General features: G+C 47.0%; 2 protein-coding genes and 1 long non-coding RNA gene across 5 annotated transcripts in view, besides 16 other annotated features; 2 read left to right on the top strand and 1 right to left on the bottom strand.

Annotated features, from left to right (window-relative positions):
* Positions 89 to 338: a silencer, noted in NCBI's record as "silent region_4266". NCBI's record gives its function as "represses an Ori minimal core promoter by ATAC-STARR-seq in GM12878 lymphoblastoid cells {active_cell/tissue: GM12878}" and the evidence as "EXISTENCE:reporter gene assay evidence [ECO:0000049][PMID:35858748]".
* Positions 463 to 2,682, top strand: LOC105369663 (uncharacterized). The gene is made up of 2 exons (XR_931366.4): positions 463 to 2,363; positions 2,549 to 2,682. It is a non-coding gene; the product is annotated as an uncharacterized LOC105369663 (long non-coding RNA).
* Positions 679 to 758: a silencer, noted in NCBI's record as "silent region_4265". NCBI's record gives its function as "represses an Ori minimal core promoter by ATAC-STARR-seq in GM12878 lymphoblastoid cells {active_cell/tissue: GM12878}" and the evidence as "EXISTENCE:reporter gene assay evidence [ECO:0000049][PMID:35858748]".
* Positions 1,019 to 1,288: a silencer, noted in NCBI's record as "silent region_4264". NCBI's record gives its function as "represses an Ori minimal core promoter by ATAC-STARR-seq in GM12878 lymphoblastoid cells {active_cell/tissue: GM12878}" and the evidence as "EXISTENCE:reporter gene assay evidence [ECO:0000049][PMID:35858748]".
* Positions 1,499 to 1,628: a silencer, noted in NCBI's record as "silent region_4263". NCBI's record gives its function as "represses an Ori minimal core promoter by ATAC-STARR-seq in GM12878 lymphoblastoid cells {active_cell/tissue: GM12878}" and the evidence as "EXISTENCE:reporter gene assay evidence [ECO:0000049][PMID:35858748]".
* Positions 1,699 to 1,828: a silencer, noted in NCBI's record as "silent region_4262". NCBI's record gives its function as "represses an Ori minimal core promoter by ATAC-STARR-seq in GM12878 lymphoblastoid cells {active_cell/tissue: GM12878}" and the evidence as "EXISTENCE:reporter gene assay evidence [ECO:0000049][PMID:35858748]".
* Positions 3,217 to 8,218, bottom strand: CDKN1B (cyclin dependent kinase inhibitor 1B). Its single transcript, NM_004064.5, has 3 exons — positions 7,272 to 8,218; positions 6,632 to 6,761; positions 3,217 to 4,550 (listed from the first exon to the last, which is right to left on the bottom strand). The coding sequence occupies exons 1-2, from the start codon at positions 7,744 to 7,746 to the stop codon at positions 6,640 to 6,642; spliced, it is 597 nt and encodes a 198-aa protein (NP_004055.1). The 5' UTR covers positions 7,747 to 8,218; the 3' UTR covers positions 3,217 to 4,550; positions 6,632 to 6,639.
* Positions 5,965 to 6,014: an enhancer, noted in NCBI's record as "active region_6029". NCBI's record gives its function as "activates an Ori minimal core promoter by ATAC-STARR-seq in GM12878 lymphoblastoid cells {active_cell/tissue: GM12878}" and the evidence as "EXISTENCE:reporter gene assay evidence [ECO:0000049][PMID:35858748]".
* Positions 6,085 to 6,164: an enhancer, noted in NCBI's record as "active region_6028". NCBI's record gives its function as "activates an Ori minimal core promoter by ATAC-STARR-seq in GM12878 lymphoblastoid cells {active_cell/tissue: GM12878}" and the evidence as "EXISTENCE:reporter gene assay evidence [ECO:0000049][PMID:35858748]".
* Positions 7,652 to 7,840: a silencer, noted in NCBI's record as "fragment chr12:12870680-12870868 (GRCh37/hg19 assembly coordinates)". NCBI's record gives its function as "represses an EF-1alpha promoter that drives an FKBP-Casp9 reporter gene in an ReSE screen in HepG2 liver carcinoma cells {active_cell/tissue: HepG2}" and the evidence as "EXISTENCE:reporter gene assay evidence [ECO:0000049][PMID:32094911]".
* Positions 8,015 to 8,114: an enhancer, noted in NCBI's record as "active region_6027". NCBI's record gives its function as "activates an Ori minimal core promoter by ATAC-STARR-seq in GM12878 lymphoblastoid cells {active_cell/tissue: GM12878}" and the evidence as "EXISTENCE:reporter gene assay evidence [ECO:0000049][PMID:35858748]".
* Positions 8,195 to 8,244: an enhancer, noted in NCBI's record as "active region_6026". NCBI's record gives its function as "activates an Ori minimal core promoter by ATAC-STARR-seq in GM12878 lymphoblastoid cells {active_cell/tissue: GM12878}" and the evidence as "EXISTENCE:reporter gene assay evidence [ECO:0000049][PMID:35858748]".
* Positions 8,265 to 8,834: a silencer, noted in NCBI's record as "silent region_4261". NCBI's record gives its function as "represses an Ori minimal core promoter by ATAC-STARR-seq in GM12878 lymphoblastoid cells {active_cell/tissue: GM12878}" and the evidence as "EXISTENCE:reporter gene assay evidence [ECO:0000049][PMID:35858748]".
* GPR19 (G protein-coupled receptor 19) overlaps positions 8,340 to 17,978 on the top strand; it is a 56,357-nt gene continuing 46,718 nt past the window's right edge. For 2 of the 3 annotated variants that reach the window (XM_011520624.3, XM_047428741.1), the window contains exon 1: positions 13,085 to 16,314. The gene's annotated coding sequence lies outside the window, so the exon portion shown is untranslated. Of the gene's footprint in view, positions 9,876 to 13,084; positions 16,315 to 17,978 lie in introns of those variants that run through there. The other variant, XM_011520623.4, reaches the window with a different exon arrangement.
* Positions 10,501 to 10,580: an enhancer, noted in NCBI's record as "active region_6025". NCBI's record gives its function as "activates an Ori minimal core promoter by ATAC-STARR-seq in GM12878 lymphoblastoid cells {active_cell/tissue: GM12878}" and the evidence as "EXISTENCE:reporter gene assay evidence [ECO:0000049][PMID:35858748]".
* Positions 10,591 to 10,640: an enhancer, noted in NCBI's record as "active region_6024". NCBI's record gives its function as "activates an Ori minimal core promoter by ATAC-STARR-seq in GM12878 lymphoblastoid cells {active_cell/tissue: GM12878}" and the evidence as "EXISTENCE:reporter gene assay evidence [ECO:0000049][PMID:35858748]".
* Positions 10,761 to 10,890: an enhancer, noted in NCBI's record as "active region_6023". NCBI's record gives its function as "activates an Ori minimal core promoter by ATAC-STARR-seq in GM12878 lymphoblastoid cells {active_cell/tissue: GM12878}" and the evidence as "EXISTENCE:reporter gene assay evidence [ECO:0000049][PMID:35858748]".
* Positions 10,961 to 11,140: an enhancer, noted in NCBI's record as "active region_6022". NCBI's record gives its function as "activates an Ori minimal core promoter by ATAC-STARR-seq in GM12878 lymphoblastoid cells {active_cell/tissue: GM12878}" and the evidence as "EXISTENCE:reporter gene assay evidence [ECO:0000049][PMID:35858748]".
* Positions 11,321 to 11,390: an enhancer, noted in NCBI's record as "active region_6021". NCBI's record gives its function as "activates an Ori minimal core promoter by ATAC-STARR-seq in GM12878 lymphoblastoid cells {active_cell/tissue: GM12878}" and the evidence as "EXISTENCE:reporter gene assay evidence [ECO:0000049][PMID:35858748]".

The raw sequence follows: 17,978 nt of genomic DNA, 5'->3' as shown, positions 1-17,978 counted from the left end.
TTTTCTCTTCCCAAAACCGACTAGAGCGCGAGACTCCGCCTGAAGCTGCAGCTTCTCGGATCCACCTTAAATCTTCAGCGGACTCAGCGTCGGGGTCAGTGGGCGCAGCCAATGCCAATCAAGTTTACAACCAGCAGCACGGGAGGGAAAAAAAAAATCATCTGCAAGTTCTCCCTACACACAAATACGCGCGCGCACACACGCACACACGTACGCACACACACACAGAAAGAAGGAGGGGGTGGGGGCGGGCGCTCGGGAGAGGGCGAGAATGTTTGTGAAATGCGCGTCCGAGGCTCCGGGGCCGCGGCCGGAGCGCGGGGCAGGCGCGCGGGGAGCGCAGCCCGGCGCGAGCGCCATGATGGTCGCCGCGGTTCGGGGCCCGTTTTCTGGAGGGGGAGCCGCAATGATGCAATCCCCCGGCCGCGCGCCCTGCTCCCTGCCTTTTCTCAACGTTCCTTTAGAGGCGCGTCGAGGTTTCGCGCCCAACGCCTTGATTTCTTTTTGTACTGCTCGCTCCGATGCCTGCTGCTCAGTGTCCCCACGCGTGACAGGCCGGGCGCGCGGGCGGCCGCAGAGGGGCTGGGCCTTACGTGTCAACTCGGCACTTTCGGTTCTGCGGGGTCGGCCTGAGGCGGACCCCACCCCATCCCACCCCAGTCCCCAGGCCAGCCCGGATCCGGGAGGTGGCCGCTGAGGTTTTCCAGCGGGACTGTGGGCCCCTTCCCCACCCCCAGCTGGGCCCGCAGGATTTTTTACCTCCCTTTTGGCTGAGAGGGGGTGGGTGGGCGTAGGGTGTGGCCCAGGTGAAAGACACAGCAAGTTTTAAAAAGAAATTCATACTCTGAACACCAGACAGGAGATCCTAGAGGAGATTTAGAATCACTTTTTCTGTGCAAAGAGCTTGAGAGAAGAGCAAGTGTGGGCGCTGTGATGATGAAGATGAAATGGCGAAGGCAGCGTCCCCCGGCCTCCGGGAAAGTCGCTCCCTGAGGCCGGGGCGGTGGGCGCACCCCGGCCTGAGAGGCCTCTCGCCCCGCTCCTCGCCTGTGAAGCCCACGCTCCCGGAGTCCCCCAAACACGCCCCCAAACCCACATTTCCCCAGTTCTTCCCCGTCCCAGGCCCCCGCGCCGGGCGGCCGGGGTTGCGATGGGGGCACGTTGCCGAGCGGGGGTGAGGGCAGAGGGGACCCACGCGGGCGGCCGTGGTGCGGGGCCCGGGCTGCGCGCCGCCGTGGCCCTCCCCAGGCGCCGGCGAGCCGGGCGGGCTTTCGAAATGCGCGGGGCTGCGGATCATTGGAGCCCAGGGTAGGGGTGGGAGCGGGCTGCAGCGCCGGAGGGTCGGCGAACTCGGGAAGGCTCTCCCCTTAGCTCCGATATCCCCACGGCCGGGGAGGCGGCCGGTTACTCAGGTGGAGAGTCCGTTTGCGGAGAGGAGTGGGAGCTTTCGCTGCTTTCTCAGCGCAGAGGAGAGGAGGAGGGAGGAAAGTTTCTGAGAAACCGCCCAGCCCGGCTGCGCGGCGGAGGCGCGGCCGCCCGGGCGCGGGAACTGCGCGCGACGACGGCGACAGTGCGGGGGGCTGCACGTTACAGATGAGGGAGCAACACTTGATGGCCTTCTCGTCCCGAGGCACCAGCCAGCCCGACCCCGCAACTGCCGCGGCGGGCGGGCGCGGAACTGCGGGGCAGTTTGGGGAGACGACGGCGCAGTGGCTTGGGTAGTGGGGCAAGGGGTGGCGGGCGACGGCGGCCGCAACCCCGCAAAGGGACGTTCACGGCGAAGGACGAGCTGAACTGCGGGTCATTTTGGGAGGCTTGACACAGGCGGGTAAAGGACGAAGGACACGGTGACTCGGGGCTGCGTTCCTGTGGACGTGCCTGGCGCGGCGAGCATCCACTTCTCCCTGGCCCGCATAACTAAAACGCAATCTCTCAAAATTCTGTTTAAAGAGACCTCTTTAGGAAAGGAGACTGGGGTGCCTGCAGCAATCCAGGCGATATTTTTTATTCTGTTAGAGACACTTTCTGAATTATCTTTTTTTACTCAGAGGAACTTTAATTTCATTATTTTCTGACCCTCCTCTCCTTCCTATTTCGAATTGTTTTTCTTGCTCCTTCAGTCTGTTTTCGAAAAACACTCTTGGATGCGAGTTTCAAACAAAATCACAAAACACCTCTAGTCTTTCATTAAAATAATACCTACTTGAAAGATGTAGCCCAGCCACTAAAGGACCTATTTTTCCCTTCCAGGAAGCCGAAGAGTCCAACCTGCTCAAAAAAAAAAAAAAAAAAAAAAAATCTTCGGGTCAAAAACTGTTCAAACTACTCTTTGAGAGCTCCTTTTGGGGTACGATAAAGGAAATGTAGGTATTTGAGCGAAAAAATTTAACCCAAATTTAGATTTTTACGATTTACCCACTTACTAGAATAAGTCCTATAAGAATTTACTATTACACCTTAAACACATTTTTTCTTGAGAATGTGGAATTACAGGAATCATTTTAGTAATCTGACTTTAAAATGTCTTGTCTTATACTTTTTTCCTTAGGTAAAAACTGTATATCTGCTGTATGGCTATGGAGACTCAAAATCCTCAGATTTGGTTACTTACATTAGCCAGTTTTTGGTTGTGTAGATTATAACAAGGAAATACCCCGTTTCTAAATATAGAAATTGAAAGAATTTTTGTATGACCAGTTAAATTTCAAAAATAGCTACGTAGAGTGCACACCAATTTCTTAAGGGCCCATATGTTTGAATATTTTAAACAAGATTTATACATTAGATGGTCCAAACAATTGCTTTAATTCCTCACACTTCTCATGTGTAAATACAGAATTTAGAGAAGTCACCATGTTACTTTCATTTTCAATCCTGCAAATGTGTCAGTGTACACTTATGTAAGGATTCTTTGGTTTTGACACATTCATATCCTAGAAGACATAAATATTTTTACTAATGCAGACTTTTGACAACCTTATTCATATGAAAATGTAGCTTTTCCATTTTCACCTTCTAAAGTTTTGTCCTCCCACACAGAGCTAAGTGGAAAACAGTAACTGCTAACTACATTCGGACTACATAAAACATCATCTGAGTTGTGGGCCTGAATTACCTAGGTATTTGCCACTTCACATTTACATTTGTGTAAATATGACTAGAATGCCAGGTCAAATACCTTGTTTGGTAAAGCACATTACAATTTGACTCAATGAATAGCTATGGAAGTTTTCTTTATTGATTACTTAATGTGTAACAATAATTGGCATCTTTTTCACACATTACAAAAAATTATACTTGGCTCAGTATGCAACCTTTTAAGCATAGCCATATTATTTAACAAAAGAGGGGAAAACCTATTCTACCCAACACAGCATTTACAAATGCACAAAACATGCCACTTTGGCTTGTATATTGTCTAGATTAAAAAAAATCTTTTAACATAAATAAGTTAGTATAATTTTTCAGTGTTTTTACAGAGTTATGTACACAGGTACACTTCAAATGGTTTTTCCATACACAGGCAATGAAATACTGTTTAAAGATGTAGTATCCATTTCACTTATCCTACAAGTGTGCTTTTCTCTACATGAACCTTCCTTGAAAAATAACACTTTCCTGTGGATAAATGGACAGAGTAAGCTTTAAATTAAAAAATATTTCATTTTTTAATGTGAAGTTACTTACAGATCTTTAAAAATATCGAGGGATTTAGAATTATTTTGACTGTGTTTACACAGCCCGAAGTGAAAAGAAAATGAGAAAATTTTGTCAACAAATTTAATAAAAGCAGATGGTCAATTCTTAACATTCAAAACTCCCAAGCACCTCGGATTTTTGCCCCAAACTACCTGGAGTGATCACCATTCTGCTGAGTAATTAACTGGTAAATTCCAACTTTAAGAGAGACTGGGGAGGGCAGTGAGGATAGGTTTCTGTTGCTTTTTTAAAAAAGCCACATGCAGCTATCTAACAAACTTTAGATAGCTTGGGAGATCACCAGATCTCCCAAATGAGAATAAACTTCTTGTAAAAATAAATAGCAATTATCTTTAGCCAGTGTTCAAATTTTTGTGATTTTTTTAAATGAAGTATCAGCTGTCTCTGAAAGGGACATTACATCTTTAAAGAAAACAATTCAAACCCTTCCCCAAAATTGCTTCTCTTCATGCAAGTCAAATATTTATCTACTTGCTGTAAATCAAAGCAAGCTCTTCATACCCCGCTCCACGTCAGTTCCTCAGCCCCACCCTGCCCTCCCTTCCCCAAAGTTTATGTGCTACATAAAAGGTAAAAACTATATACACAGGTAGTACAATGAAGCAAATAAGGAAAAACCTAATTGCATAATGCTACATCCAACGCTTTTAGAGGCAGATCATTTAAGAGTGCCTAAAATTTTAGTGTTATTGTGTTGTTGTTTTTCAGTGCTTATACAGGATGTCCATTCCATGAAGTCAGCGATATGTATTTTTAAAATTTTCATGTATATCTTCCTTGCTTCATCAAGCAGTGATGTATCTGATAAACAAGGAAACATATTCTTAATTCTGCAAAAGAAAACAAAACGGAAGAATTAAAGGAAGAGCACTAGATTAACGTTACCAGTAGAGTACAGGAATTATTTTGTCACTATGTTAGCTTGGAAATACTTGATGGGGAAAAAAGTTTGATGACTATAGTCATCTCCACCTAACATTCTCTTAACTGGATTTTTTTTTCCTTTCCTCTGTGCTGTGTTCTTTGGTCTAGAGCAGTAGTTCTTAACAGTAGGCAATGTTGCCCCCGCCCCACAGGGAACATTTGGCAATGTCTGGAGACATTTTAGGTTGTCACACTGGGGGAGGAGGATACTGCTGGCATCTAGTGTGAGAGGCCAGGGATAATTCCAAACAATCTAAAACACACAGGACAGCCTCCTACAACAGAATTATTCGGCCCAAAATGTCATTAGTGCAGAGGCTGAGAAACCCTACTCTAAATAATCTAGGTCAAAGGCAAGTGGGAAATAAATAGGATAATTAGGAAACTGTAATACTTACGGGTAAAAATTTTCTAAATTTTTGAAAATTTTTAATTTTTTTTCTCCTGTGACAGATTAAACTTTCTAAATTTGAAAAATGATTGGGAATAAAAATTATAAAGGCCTTCCAGAGGAAAATTTTATTAACATCATTTTCAAAATATTCTAATTCCTGATTCATATGCAGAAAATACTCATGAATACTTTTGAATAGGTTCTTACTAATATTTCTAGTATTCTTTGAACTAGCAATATTACTAAATCCTACAAATGCCTCATTGCATGTCAGAACAGGGCCAGATCAAAATCCAGGTCTGATTCTCGTGGCTCATCTGATGAGCTAGGCCACAAGTCACAAACCAACAAGGGCTGCGCATGTTAAGGTTGCTTCAGGAAAATTTTCACCTAATTTTCCCACTTCATATGGTGCTGTAAAATGGAGGTTCTATAGTGCCGTTTTGTATAAGCGCTGAAAAAGATATGTGAAGTCACATATACAATTTAAAGACACAACAAACCTGAATCTCACCTTAATCCCTGTTATTTTAAAATTTTTATAACTGGGGATTTAAAAAGTTAACATCAATATTTTATCGCCTCATATGCTAAACTACGTGTGTGCTTTAGAAAATAAAGAGGTCACAGTCTTGGTCTAAAGGAAGCTAATAAACTATTAAAATATGTAGTTTATTATGAATAACCAACCCATGTTGGTTATCTGGGGACTGAATTATTCAAATTAGCTATTTACAGTGATCAGATTCTTGTGCATGGAAAAATCTCCACTTCCTTTGTGCTGGGCTGACCTACGGTCACCAGTCTTGATATTTACTACCCATTTCCCCTACAAATATCCAAATCACCCTGTTACGGCACAATTAGCATACACTGGCTGACGTGTTCCTGGATTGCTTACTGACAAGAGTTAATTTAACTTCTGCTTTGCAACTTCAGTGTTACCAGAAATTCTGTAGAAACTTTAGTAACTTTTTTATCTTTCCATTTGGTTTTTGCAAATACTGGTTCCTTCTCTCTCCAAACTTAGGAGACAACAGGGAAAGTGACAGTTTATTAAAATGTCAAAGAACACAACATACCATCCTATTCACATCTCTAATCCCTTGCATAACCAAAGATGAGCAATTTCTACCAAACATTCCCCCTCAAAATTGAAACTTAATCATGTATTTGCCATTTTTCCATGTATGGCTCAAAATCTGTTACCGACTCAAGCTGAACCTCTAGGAAATTAATTCTCATTAATTCGGACTGAGGGAGTACCCTAGTTCTTGTTCGGATGGGCAAAGAACCTATTGCTCCCAACACGTTTTAGTGGGACTCACAGGGAAACGACCTTCCTACCCGATGGGGCCTGGGTTACAAGTAGCTGCTCTGGTCAACAGTTTGAAGAGAAAGTATCTCTGGGCATAGAAACTCTGAGGAATTACCGTATCCCCAGCCTTCCCCATTGCTACTTTTTTGACCTCACGAAGTATAAACAAAACAAAACCCCATAAGCTTTTAATTTGCCAGCAACCAGTAAGATCAGGTATCGTGAGGTCTGAAGGCCCCGGGTTCCAGTGCGTGCTCCTTTAGTGATCAACCCACCGAGCTGTTTACGTTTGACGTCTTCTGAGGCCAGGCTTCTTGGGCGTCTGCTCCACAGAACCGGCATTTGGGGAACCGTCTGAAACATTTTCTTCTGTTCTGTTGGCTCTTTTGTTTTGAGTAGAAGAATCTAAGCGCAGGGGAAATTTTTAAAAAGAACACACAATCTTTATTAGAAAAAACAATGGCTGGCAGAAGTTGGCCCCATAGTCAGGGGATGAAAAACCCACTACCTCCACCCACAATCCTGGATCCGTCATCCCCAGTGGCTTTTAAGGGCACAAAATGAGGTTGTTTTCAAAAAACAGAAAGTGCATTCTCCGCCCCAGAGCTCTTTCCCTAGCCAGGAGGCGGACCGTTGATAAACATCCCAACTTTGTCACATACCTAGGAGTTGCTAGTGAGAGGGACCGCGATGTATTAAGTTAGGGAAATTATCGGATCTTACCATCTCCAGTTTCTGACTTAAAAGTCACAAACAGACAAGCAGTGGGCCAGGTAGCACTGAACACCTAAGACCAATAAAGTTAGCTCTCCCAAAGCTAAATCAGAATACGCCGAAAAGCAAGCTAAGGTTAACACCCTCCAGCAGGCAAAGCGGGGCCCCAAACACATTCTATGGTTGGGAAAGGGTCATTACCGTCGGTTGCAGGTCGCTTCCTTATTCCTGCGCATTGCTCCGCTAACCCCGTCTGGCTGTCCGACGGATCAGTCTTTGGGTCCACCAAATGCGTGTCCTCAGAGTTAGCCGGAGCCCCAATTAAAGGCGCCGCCGGGCGGCTCCCGCTGACATCCTGGCTCTCCTGCGCCGGCACCTTGCAGGCACCTTTGGGGGGCCGCGGGGGTCTGTAGTAGAACTCGGGCAAGCTGCCCTTCTCCACCTCTTGCCACTCGTACTTGCCCTCTAGGGGTTTGTGATTCTGAAAATCGAAATTCCACTTGCGCTGGCTCGCCTCTTCCATGTCTCTGCAGTGCTTCTCCAAGTCCCGGGTTAACTCTTCGTGGTCCACCGGGCCGAAGAGGTTCCTGCAGGCCGAGGGCTTGGGGTGCTCCGCCTGCCTGGCGTCCATCCGCTCCAGGCTAGGGCTCCCGTTAGACACTCGCACGTTTGACATCTTTCTCCCGGGTCTGCACGACCGCCTCTCTCGCACTCTCAAAAAAACAAAACCGAACAAAACAAAGCGCCCCTACGCAGCCCGAACCCCTCTCGGAAGCCCAGCGACTGCCCTCGGAGCCAAAAGACACAGACCCCGACGAGCCACGGCCCGAGCTCTAGGAGCGCGCAGGGGCTGCGGGGAAGCCCCGGCCCGGCCGCCGAGTCTCCGCTGATCAAATGGACTGGCGAGCGGGAGGGCGGAGAGGAGAGGGGACCAGGCAAGCGGAGAGGGTGGCAAAGCCCGTCCGAGTCTGGGCGGGTGCAAGCCCGCGGGTCCCGCGAACCCAGCCGCTCTCCAAACCTTGCCGGCGTCGGAGTCGCAGAGCCGTGAGCAAGCGGGGACAGGGGAGGGGGAGAAAAACACCCCGAAAAGACGAGCCCCCTTTTTTTAGTGGCCCAATATGGCGGTGGAAGGGAGGCTGACGAAGAAGAAAATGATTGACACGGCGAGTCTATTTAAACAGAGGAGGAGATCCATTGGTTGCGGCGGCGGGAGCCGCCCCGCCGAGGCTGGCGAGCGCGGCCTTAAGGTGGCCCCGGCGCGGTTCCGCCACCTCCCCTCGTTCCCGAGCGCGCCGCCTCCCCGAGCGCCGCCGGGAGATTGGCTGGTCGCGTGACTGCTGGAGGGGTACTGCTGCCAACAAACCTGCTCTGGCTGGCCTCGGAGAAATTAAAATTAAGACAAACAAACTAGCCAAACGGCCGGGAACCTGGGGCGGGGCCTGAGGTTCGGGGCCCGGCGCTGCGTTGGCGGGTTCGCCGCGGCGCCTAAGCCCCGACCTCCCTCCCGCTCCTCGCCCGGGAAGCCGGGACCTGGACCAGAGGACCGCGAAGGTCGCCGGCAGCTCGCTAGGAGCCGGGGTGGCGAGCTGCCCCCAGCTCGGCCCTCCCCAGCGGCCCCCACCTCGTGGTCTGCGGGGGAGGCCGCGGAGCGTTTGCTGGGGGGGCTGGGCGCCCCCCCGCCGGCGTGCCTTTGCTGGGGGCTGGTGGAGGCAGTGGGCAATGGTTCGCTCAGCCTTAACCCAGAAGTTTCTGCCATCCCTGGGGAGGCTGGGGGCCTAGGGAAGAAGCCAAAGCGAACGTCTTTCTTTTAGAAATTAGCCAGGAGTAGACGCGGCACTTATCATGAACTCAAGCTCTCCCTCAATGAAAATAAGAAAGGAACTCAAGATTAAAAAAAAAAAACAAAAAACTCTAGTCTCTCAAGTCCCTTAATAAACTTTGTAGCTGTCTCAGACACGTTTAGTTTTGAAAAACGAGGGTACACCCCTGGCCCAGGATCTTCCTTCCCAAGCACAGTTAAGGCCATGGACATTGGCTGCGTGTGGGAACTCGTCCCTTTCTACTTTTCTGTTCTTTCCCGGGATTGTAGCAGTTTCCTCTACCTGAGTCCAGCCGCCAAATACAACAGCTCCTTCCTTCCTCCACCCTTCTCTCTCACCAGATTTCACTGCTCCAACAAACTCAGAACAATATTCAGATGCTAGTGAATGCTTTCAGAGGGCTGAAGGGTGAAAATACTCCCCTCGGGGTCAAACTCCAGATGATGAAATGATTTTTAAAACACCACAACCATGTCCTAACGTCCGATACTAGTATTCCAGCGTTTCTCTTCTCCCTTTTGCAGCTGGAAATTTCTCTCTCAGTGTGGGCTTGAGCACCGTGGTGGAAGGTAAAGTAGGACGATGAGCAGGGCTGCCCTGAGACAAAGCTCAGTGGATCTTCAACTGCCTCCCCACCCCCATGCCCGGTACCCATCATCTTGGTTTGAGCCAAAGTTAATGCATTTTACTGGAAACCAACCTTCCGTTCTAATATTACACAGCAGCAAAGTTTTCTTAAGCACCTATGCTACAGATGAGCTTGATGTGTAGCTTGTTTTCTTAGCCACATCTTGTCCACTTTGTGTGCCTACCTCATCTCATACGCTCCAGAATGTGACAGCTGGAAGGGACCCTCGGGACCCTGTGGTTTAACCCTCTCCTTTTTACCACGGAGGAAATCGAGACTCAGAGAGGTTTCCTGTCCAGGGACATGCATTCGGTTGGTACCGGAGTCAGGACTAGATGCAAGTCTCCTAACACTCAGGTTGGTTCATTTTCTGTTCCTTTCCTTCCTAATGGTTCTCACTGGTTCAGGGTTTTGTCTGAGTTTGATTGTGCTGTAGTCTGCAGGTCCTGCTGTCTTACAAGTGACTGAAAATGGCTCCTTCCCAGGCCCTGGGTTGCCTGCAGATGTTTCCTTGATGTGGCCTGTGGTCACTGATATTTAAATGCAGCTGTCTTGAGCCTGTGGTATCACCATCCACTAGTTCAACTAAAATTGAAGGACAGGGGTTGATACCCAGAGAACAGTAAAGGGGGCAGTGCCCAGAACTAGTTTTCAAGTCAGGACTTCCTACCTAACTGACAGAAAAGAATTCACCTAGGATCAAGCAAGAGGTCTCATCCTCTTTAGTTTTTCTACTTTTAAGGCTGTCAATTTATTGGACTGCAGACTGGGGGAAAAGGAACAGGAAAATTAGGGTAGGCCTCCCTACCATAATTTATACCTTACCCTAGAAATTAGATAATTGTCCAAATTTTAAAACAATTGCTAGACAACACAGGAACTCTATATATGTGCATCTATCCATATGCATAAACACCCAAACTACCACATGTATGTAAATGGAGACATTCTAGAGTAGTTCACCTTGCCACAGAAGTTTGATTTTACTCATGGAATTCATGTCTTATATGGAAGTGGAAAATAAACACTTCGATCCCCTTCACATGCTGAATCTTTCAACTAATATGTAGGAGCACCATTTTGTCGCTTTGTTGTTGTTGATCTCGAAAAGTAAGCAAGTCACAGTCACACCACCTTAAGAAGTCTGGCTGCCAGCAGAAAGGCTGTGCTTACATCGACCTCACAATGATCTAAAGTGTTTTGTTTACAGTCAAGGCACCGGAGATCTGTACAGCAAATAATGAGAACGCAGGCGTCTGCTGTAGTAGCGACGACGCGTGAAAAAAAATACTATGGAGTCCCTGAAGGAACAGGGAGCGTAGAGATCAGAGCGCCATCCTTCTGCAAAGTGGGCAGCTGCAAGCGAGTAAGCCAGGGGGAAAATTTTCAGATAAACAGTGTTAAAGGTGGACCCTGGTAAAAGACGGAAAGCTCTACACTGCACTGCTCTAAAGTGAGCTGTTTCCCCAAAACCCCCAGTCCTGCGTGATGTTTTGGTTGCCATTTTCACTGCTGTTTTCCTACTTAGGGCTGAGAAGCGTCCCATAAGCCATCCCAGATTTCTGTAATCTTCACAACCTGAGGAGAGAGGCAAAGACCAAAATAACTTAAGAGAAAACACCTGTGTCATAGACAAGTGTTCAGATGGGGTGAATGAGCAAGCCGCCAGCGTCGCCAGCTCCCAGATGCAGCGCTCTCACCCAAGTTCTGCAGCCCCAAATGTTTCTGCGAAGGTTCACGGTTCCTTGCCCAGCTGCCCCTCCCACCGCAAGCACACAGTTTCAGTCCTTCCTCGAGGATGTTTATAATGAGGCAGCACTCAACTCCACCATTCTTCTAAGCTCACATATTTTTAGACTTTGGGAATTTCACAGTCATCTCCTTCTGACACTTTTAATTCAATTTCACAAATATTTACGGAGCACCTTCTATTAATTTGCTTATTCCTTCTTTCTTTCAACAAATATTTATTGAGTGCCTCCTCTATGCCAGACATTATCCTTAGGCTCTGGGAACACAGAAGTAAACAAACAGATTTAAACTAGAATGATGCTGACATTCCAAAAAGGGGAGAGGAGACAGAAAATGAACACAGCACATGAAAGAAGTACATACTATGTAAGGAGGTGAAAAATGCTATGGAGAAACAATAAGCGGAGAGGGAAAAGGAAGTGTTTCAAGGATCACAATGTGAATAAGTGGTCAGGGAAGGCCTCATGGAGAAAGTGGCCTTTGAGGCCAGGTGCAGTGGCTCACACCTGTAATCCCAGCACTTTGGGAGGCAGAGGCAGGTGGATCACTTGATGTCAGGAGTTCAAGACCAGCCTGGCCAACATGATGAAACTCATCTCTACTACAAATACAAACATTAGCTGGGCATGGTAGTGCAGGCCTGTAATCCCAGCTACTCAGGAGGCTGAGGCAGGATAATGACTTGAACACAGGAGGCGGAGGTTGCAGTGAGCCAAGATCTTGCCACTGCACACCAGCCTGGAAGACAGAGTGAGACTCCATCTCACACACACAAAAAAGGTGGCCTTTGAGAGAAGCCCTGAAGACATGAGAGAGCAGCCATACAGCTATCTGGGGAAAGAGCAAATGAAGTGTCTCTGAGGTGGGATCTTGCCTAATGTGTTCAAGGAACAGCAGGGGGGCCCATGGTGGATAGGGCGGAGCAAGTGGGGAGTGGTAACAGGAGCATCAGGGCTGGGCACGGTGCTCACGCCTATAATCCTAGCACTTTGGAAGGCCAAGGTGGGTGGATCACTTGAGGTCAGGAGTTCAAGACCAGCCTGGCCAACATGGTGAAACCCTGTCTCTACTAATAATACAAAAATTAGCTGGACATGGTGGCACACGCCTGTGATCCCAGCTAGTCGGAAGGCTGAGGCAGGAGAATTGCTTGAACCTGGGAGGCGGAGGTTATAGTGAGCCAAGATCGTGCCACTGCACTCCAGCCCGGGAGAGACAGAGTGAGACTCTGTCTTAAAAAAAAAAAAAAAAAAAAAAAGCGCATCAGATCAGATAGGACCAGGTAGGCATAGGTAGGGCTTTTATTATTGGCCTGGCGATATGGAAAGCCATTGGGGCATTAGGAGGTTTTAAGCAGTGATCAATACCATGTGTAAGGTATTGTCCAAGGCATTATTCTCAGCAATGTGGGAAGTGAAGAAATATTTGTCAGAGTCCTTGCCTGTGGGGAGTATATACCATGTGCACAAAAACTAGAGGTTGGAACCAGGCCTGGTGGCCTGCACCTGTAGCCCCAGCAACTCAGAAAGCAGAGGTGGGAGGATCACTTGAGCCCAGGTCGAGGCTGCAGTGAGCTATGATCATGCCATTGCACTCCAGCCTGGGTGATAGAGCAAGACATTGTCTCAAATAAATAAACTAGAGGTAGAAAGCAATACATAGAAAAACATGATGCTATGAAGTACAAAGCAAGGAGAAAGAGGAAGGCCTCATGGAAGAAGTGATATATGAGTCAGATCTTGAAGAATAAGAAAATGTCAAGATGATTATGAGGATGAATTGGTAGGGGTGGTAAGTGGGGATGGGATCAGACAGTGGTTGGCCATGGATGGCATGCTAAAAAATCTGTTGCTCCGTAAGTACTGCGAACTGATGGAGCTTTAAGTGAAGAGAATGATCAGCGTCCAAACTTGTCTCCTGAACAAAAGCAAGCCTGGGCCCTGGGCCTGGGTTGGAGCTCTGGAGTTTGGATTTGTGAGATGGGGCTGAGGGTGATATGACAGACAGTGTCTAGGGACAGGGCTAAATGAAAAGCTGGGCAGACAGTCCCACTGTGGTGTTCATCCAGTGGGATGTGGGGAGATGGGCAGAGTTCAAGTGTGAGACAGAGAACCCTGAGCCCAGGAGGACAGGGCTTGGCAGAGAAAGGAGGCAGTCTGCCATAATCTCCTGAGCCGCAAAGGTGTAGCTGCAGATGCTTTTTATATGGTGCTTCCAGCCTTGACTGTGAGTGGGGAGGTGCCTGTTAATGGGCCCAGGCTGTCTTGGACAAGCAGATCTTTGTGTTTGGAAGTAGTGTCTGACGGCAGAGTAAAGGATGGGTGTGATGAGCCTGGAGAGACTGACACGGAGGTAATTTTGGAGGATGATGAGTTATTCAATCAACAGATACAATGGATTTAAGTCATGCTATAGAGGAAATGGAAAGCAAGGAACAAATGCAGGGTGGTTACTTAGGTAGCTGGAACATATAAGAGGATTGAGAGAGATGGAGAAAGGGAGGACGAATTTAAGGACTCAAGCTTGGGTATTTGAGAGAATAATGCCATTAACTAAGAGAGGTAACAGAAAAGGAGAATGTAGGAGAGACTATAACCTTGAACTCTTGGGCTCAAGTTATCCTCCTGCCTCAGTCTCTCAAGCGACTGATGGATCCAGTCCATCAAAATCCATTGTTGCCTTCTTTCCCAGTAGCAGAATTATAACTGAGCATACAACTGCCCAGCAACATGAAATTCCCCTGTCTCCTTTGCAATTAGGTGTGGCTTTATGATGAAGTATTTTCCAATAGAATGTAAGCAAAGGTGGTATGTGTCTTCCAGGCCTAGTGCATAGAACCTGTCATGTGACCCCCTCAGAATCCGCCACTCTCTTTCCCCTTTCTCATGGGCTGGAAAGGTGAATACTAGAGCAACCTTGGAAGCCACATGTTGAAGATGACAGAGCCACCTTCAACTTGGGTCCCTGACCTGATTTGGGAGAAGAAATAAGTTTTCATTTTGGGGTCTTTTTTTTTTTTTTTTTTGATGGAGTCTCATTCTGTCGCCAGGCTGGAGTGCAATGGCGTGATCTCAGCTCACTGCAACCTCCACCTCCCAGGTTCAAGTAATTCTCCTGCCTCAGCCTCCCGAGTAGCTGGGATTGCAGGCACGTGCCACCACACCCAGCTAATGTTTGTATTTTCAGTAGAGACGAGGTTTCACCATGTTGGCCAGGATGGTCTCAATATCCTGATCTGCCTGCCTCAGCCTCCCAAAGTGCTGGGATTACAGGCATGAGCTACCACACCGGCCCACTTTTTATAGCATTTTACAGTCACTCCTAACTAATGCATATGGAACAGTTTGGGAGATAGGGAATAGGGAAGGTGAAGAATTTGGTTTATCACTCAATGGTCAGTATGAGCATTGAAATTAACTTAATCCCCAGGGAAAAGAAAGAATGAAAAGGTATGTCCCTTAAGAGGGCTACAGAAGGCCAGGCACAGTGGCTCATGTTTGTAATCCCCTCACTTTGGTAGGTTGAGTCAGGAGGATTACTTGAGGCCAGGAATTCAAGACCAGCCTGGCCTACATAGCAAGACCCTGTCTCTACAAAAAAATTTTTTAAAAAACAGCTGGGCACAGTGTTGTGCACTTGTAGTCCCAGCTACTTGGGGGGCTGAGACAGAAGGACCATTTGAGCCCAGGAGTTCAATGTTATAGTGTACCACTGCACTCCAGCCTGGGCAACAGAGGGAGACTCTGTCTGTAACGAAAATAAAAAGAGGGCAAAAGAGACAATACTGGAGACAAGCATCTGACACAAAATGTGAAGGGATGTTATGATTGGTGGGGCTCTCTGACACCTATCCATATTTACAAATGTGCCATTAATCATATGGCCAGGTTGGATCCTGAGTAGATTAACAGTTACACGGGTACAGGAATAAGGATGCATGTGGTATTTTTTTTTTTTTTTTGGAGATGGAGCTCCATTCTTGTTGCCCAAGCTGGAGTGTAATGGCACGATCTTGGCTCACTGCAACCTCCACCTCCCAGGTTCAAACGATTCTCCTGCCTCAGCCTCCCAAGTAGCTGGGATTAGAGGTGCGCGCCACCAGGCCCAGCTAATTTTTTGTATTTTTAGTAGAAACGAGGTTTCACCATGTTAGCCAGGCTGGTCTCGAACTCCTGACCTCAGGTGATCCACCCACCTCGGCCTCCCCAGTTGCTGGGATTACAGGTGTGAGCCACCGCACCTGGCTGCATGTGGTATTCTTAATTCTTTCACATCACACTTGAGGTGTGCAACACTCATTGTTTCTCTGTTGTCCTGTACTCCCTTCTCAGACTCTGTTCCCATAACCTCTGCTGGGGGGACAGCAGATTATGAAACCCTGTTCCCATTCCCTTACCGAAGTTGATCAGACAAGGGGAGAGGAGGTGGTTGTTTGACCTAAACTTGGCTAGCCAAATTTTTTCTCCCGAAAATTTGGAATCAAGTCTGAGAAACTTCAATTAGTAAATTGTAAGGCAGAGACTAATGAGGTAATGTAGACTTGAGATTGAAAGTACCCTTTTAAGAACACTGTCTTCAGTGGGGTACGGTGGCTCATGCCCATAATCCCAACACTTTGGGAGGTTGAGGTGGGAGGACTGCTTGATCCTAGAGTTCAAGACCAGCCTGGGCAACAAAGTAAGATCCGTCTCTACAAAAAATTTAAAAAGTTAACCAGGTGTGGTGGCATGTGCCTGTGATCCCAGCTACACGACAGGTGGAGGTGGAGGATCCCTTGAGCCCAGGAGATCGAAGCTGCAGTGAGCCCTGTTCATGCCACTGCACTCCAGCTTGGGCAACAGAGTGAGACCCTGTCTCAAAAACAAAAGGACACTATCTTCAGCCCATGTGTGATGAAGATGCAGATAATGTCTGTCTGCAGAGTGTCAGAAGAAAGAAAAAAATGTGCAAAGGGGGCAGAGAAGAGAGACCACATAGTTTTAGGAAGACAGACAGCCCCGAGCAACCAAAGACTCTTCAGTTTCCGGATCCTGAAGCTCATGAGGTACTACTCCCTATATTTACGTTCTATTAGCTCATGAGGTGCTACTCCCTACATTTACGTTCTATTAGTTCATGAGGTACTACTCCCTACATTTACGTTCTATAGCACTGTGTTTATAAAGTAATTTCCCCCCCTTTGCTCCAAGCTAGCTTGTTATGAGTTTCTGTTGGTTGAACCCAAGTCATCCCTAATTAACGTAATACTTTAATTTTTTTTTTTTTTTTTAGACGGAGTCTTGCTCTGTCACCCAGTCTGGAGTGCAGTGGCGTGATCTTGGCTCACTGCAACTTCTCCCTCTCCTGGGTTCAAGCAGTTCTCTGCCTCAGTCTCCCAAGTAGCTGGGATTACAGGTGTGTGCCACCACGCCCAGCTAATTTTTGTATTCTTAGTAGAGATGGGGTTTCACCATCTTGGCCAGGCTGGTCTTGAACTCCTAACCTCGTGATCCACCAGCCTTGGCTTCCCAAAGTGCTGGGATTACAGGCGTGAGCCACCGTGCCCAGCCACTTTAAATACTTTAAAGCAGGTTCCCTGGTGTCATCACATTTGATCCTCATAAGACCACAATTGTGAGGCAAATGCTATTATCCACTCTTGCAGATGAAGCTCTGAAATAGAGAACTGAGTGTTCCAAAGCCACAAAAGAGAGCAGAGAAGGCACTAGGACTAGTGTACTTATTAGTCCTACTTAAGCTGAGTCCAGAATCCATTGTAGAAGATGCAGTGACTGGATAGGTTTGCAATTATATCACTAAGGCTTCATTGGTTTAATTTACTTAGAATGCACTATTCACAAAACAAAGGCTCTGGGGAAAATGGGATTCAAATGCCTGGAAAAATGGCATCTTTGAAAAAATTAGATTCAAGAAGGGTTTAAAACTAATCTAGTGGGGTCAGAATTTAAAGAAAAAAAATGCATCAGGCATTTTACTTAGATGAAAATTTTCATTTCCAAGTAAAATGTAATGAACTAATGCAAGTTTACCAGCATTGCCAGGACCATAAGGATAGGAAATAGGCCGAGGTGGGAGGATGGTTTGAGCCCAGAAGTTTGAGACCAGCCTGGGCAAATAGCGAGACCCCATCTCTACAAAAAATTTAAAAATTAGCTGGGCATGGTGGCACATGCTTGGAGTCTCAGCTACTCAGGAGGCTGAGGTGGGAGTATCGCTTGAGCCAGGGAGGTTGAGGCTGTAGTGAGCTGTGATCACGCCACTGCACTCCAGCCTGGGCGACAGAGCTAGGCCGTATCTCAAAAAAAAAAAAAAAAAAAAAAAAAAAAGAATAGGAAATAAATAGCAAAATTTGGATTCATGATCACACACATAATTTAATTTCCATGGTTAAAACATAAGTGGACAACTTCTACTACTAAAATACAGAATTTGGGCTCGGCGCAGTGACTCATGCCTGTAATGCCAGCACTTCGAGAGGCCAAGGTGGGAAGATCGCTTGAGGCCAGGAGTTTGACCCCGCAGTGAGCTATGATGGCACCACTGCACTCCAGCCTGGGCGACAGAGCGAGACCCTGTCCCTAAAAAAATAAATAAATAAAATATGGAATTTGGAACAATAAACATATTTATTACCAATCCACCACATTCAACTACATTCTATTTTTTACATTGAGAAGACATAAAGGAGAACATTTTCCCTGATTCTGA

This window comes from Homo sapiens, chromosome 12, assembly GCF_000001405.40.
Source record: "Homo sapiens chromosome 12, GRCh38.p14 Primary Assembly".
Lineage (NCBI taxonomy): Eukaryota > Metazoa > Chordata > Mammalia > Primates > Hominidae > Homo > Homo sapiens.
Note: the sequence above shows the minus strand (reverse complement) of the source record. Positions and strands in the feature narration are given on the sequence as shown.

Coding starts and splice junctions, on each gene's coding strand:
- CDKN1B (NM_004064.5), bottom strand. CDS start 7,746: ATGTCAAACGTGCGAGTGTCTAACGGGAGCCCTAGCCTGGAGCGGATG. Junction 6,762..7,271: donor GAAGCGACCTGCAACCGACG/GTAATGACCCTT, acceptor CCCTGCGCTTAG/ATTCTTCTACTCAAAACAAA.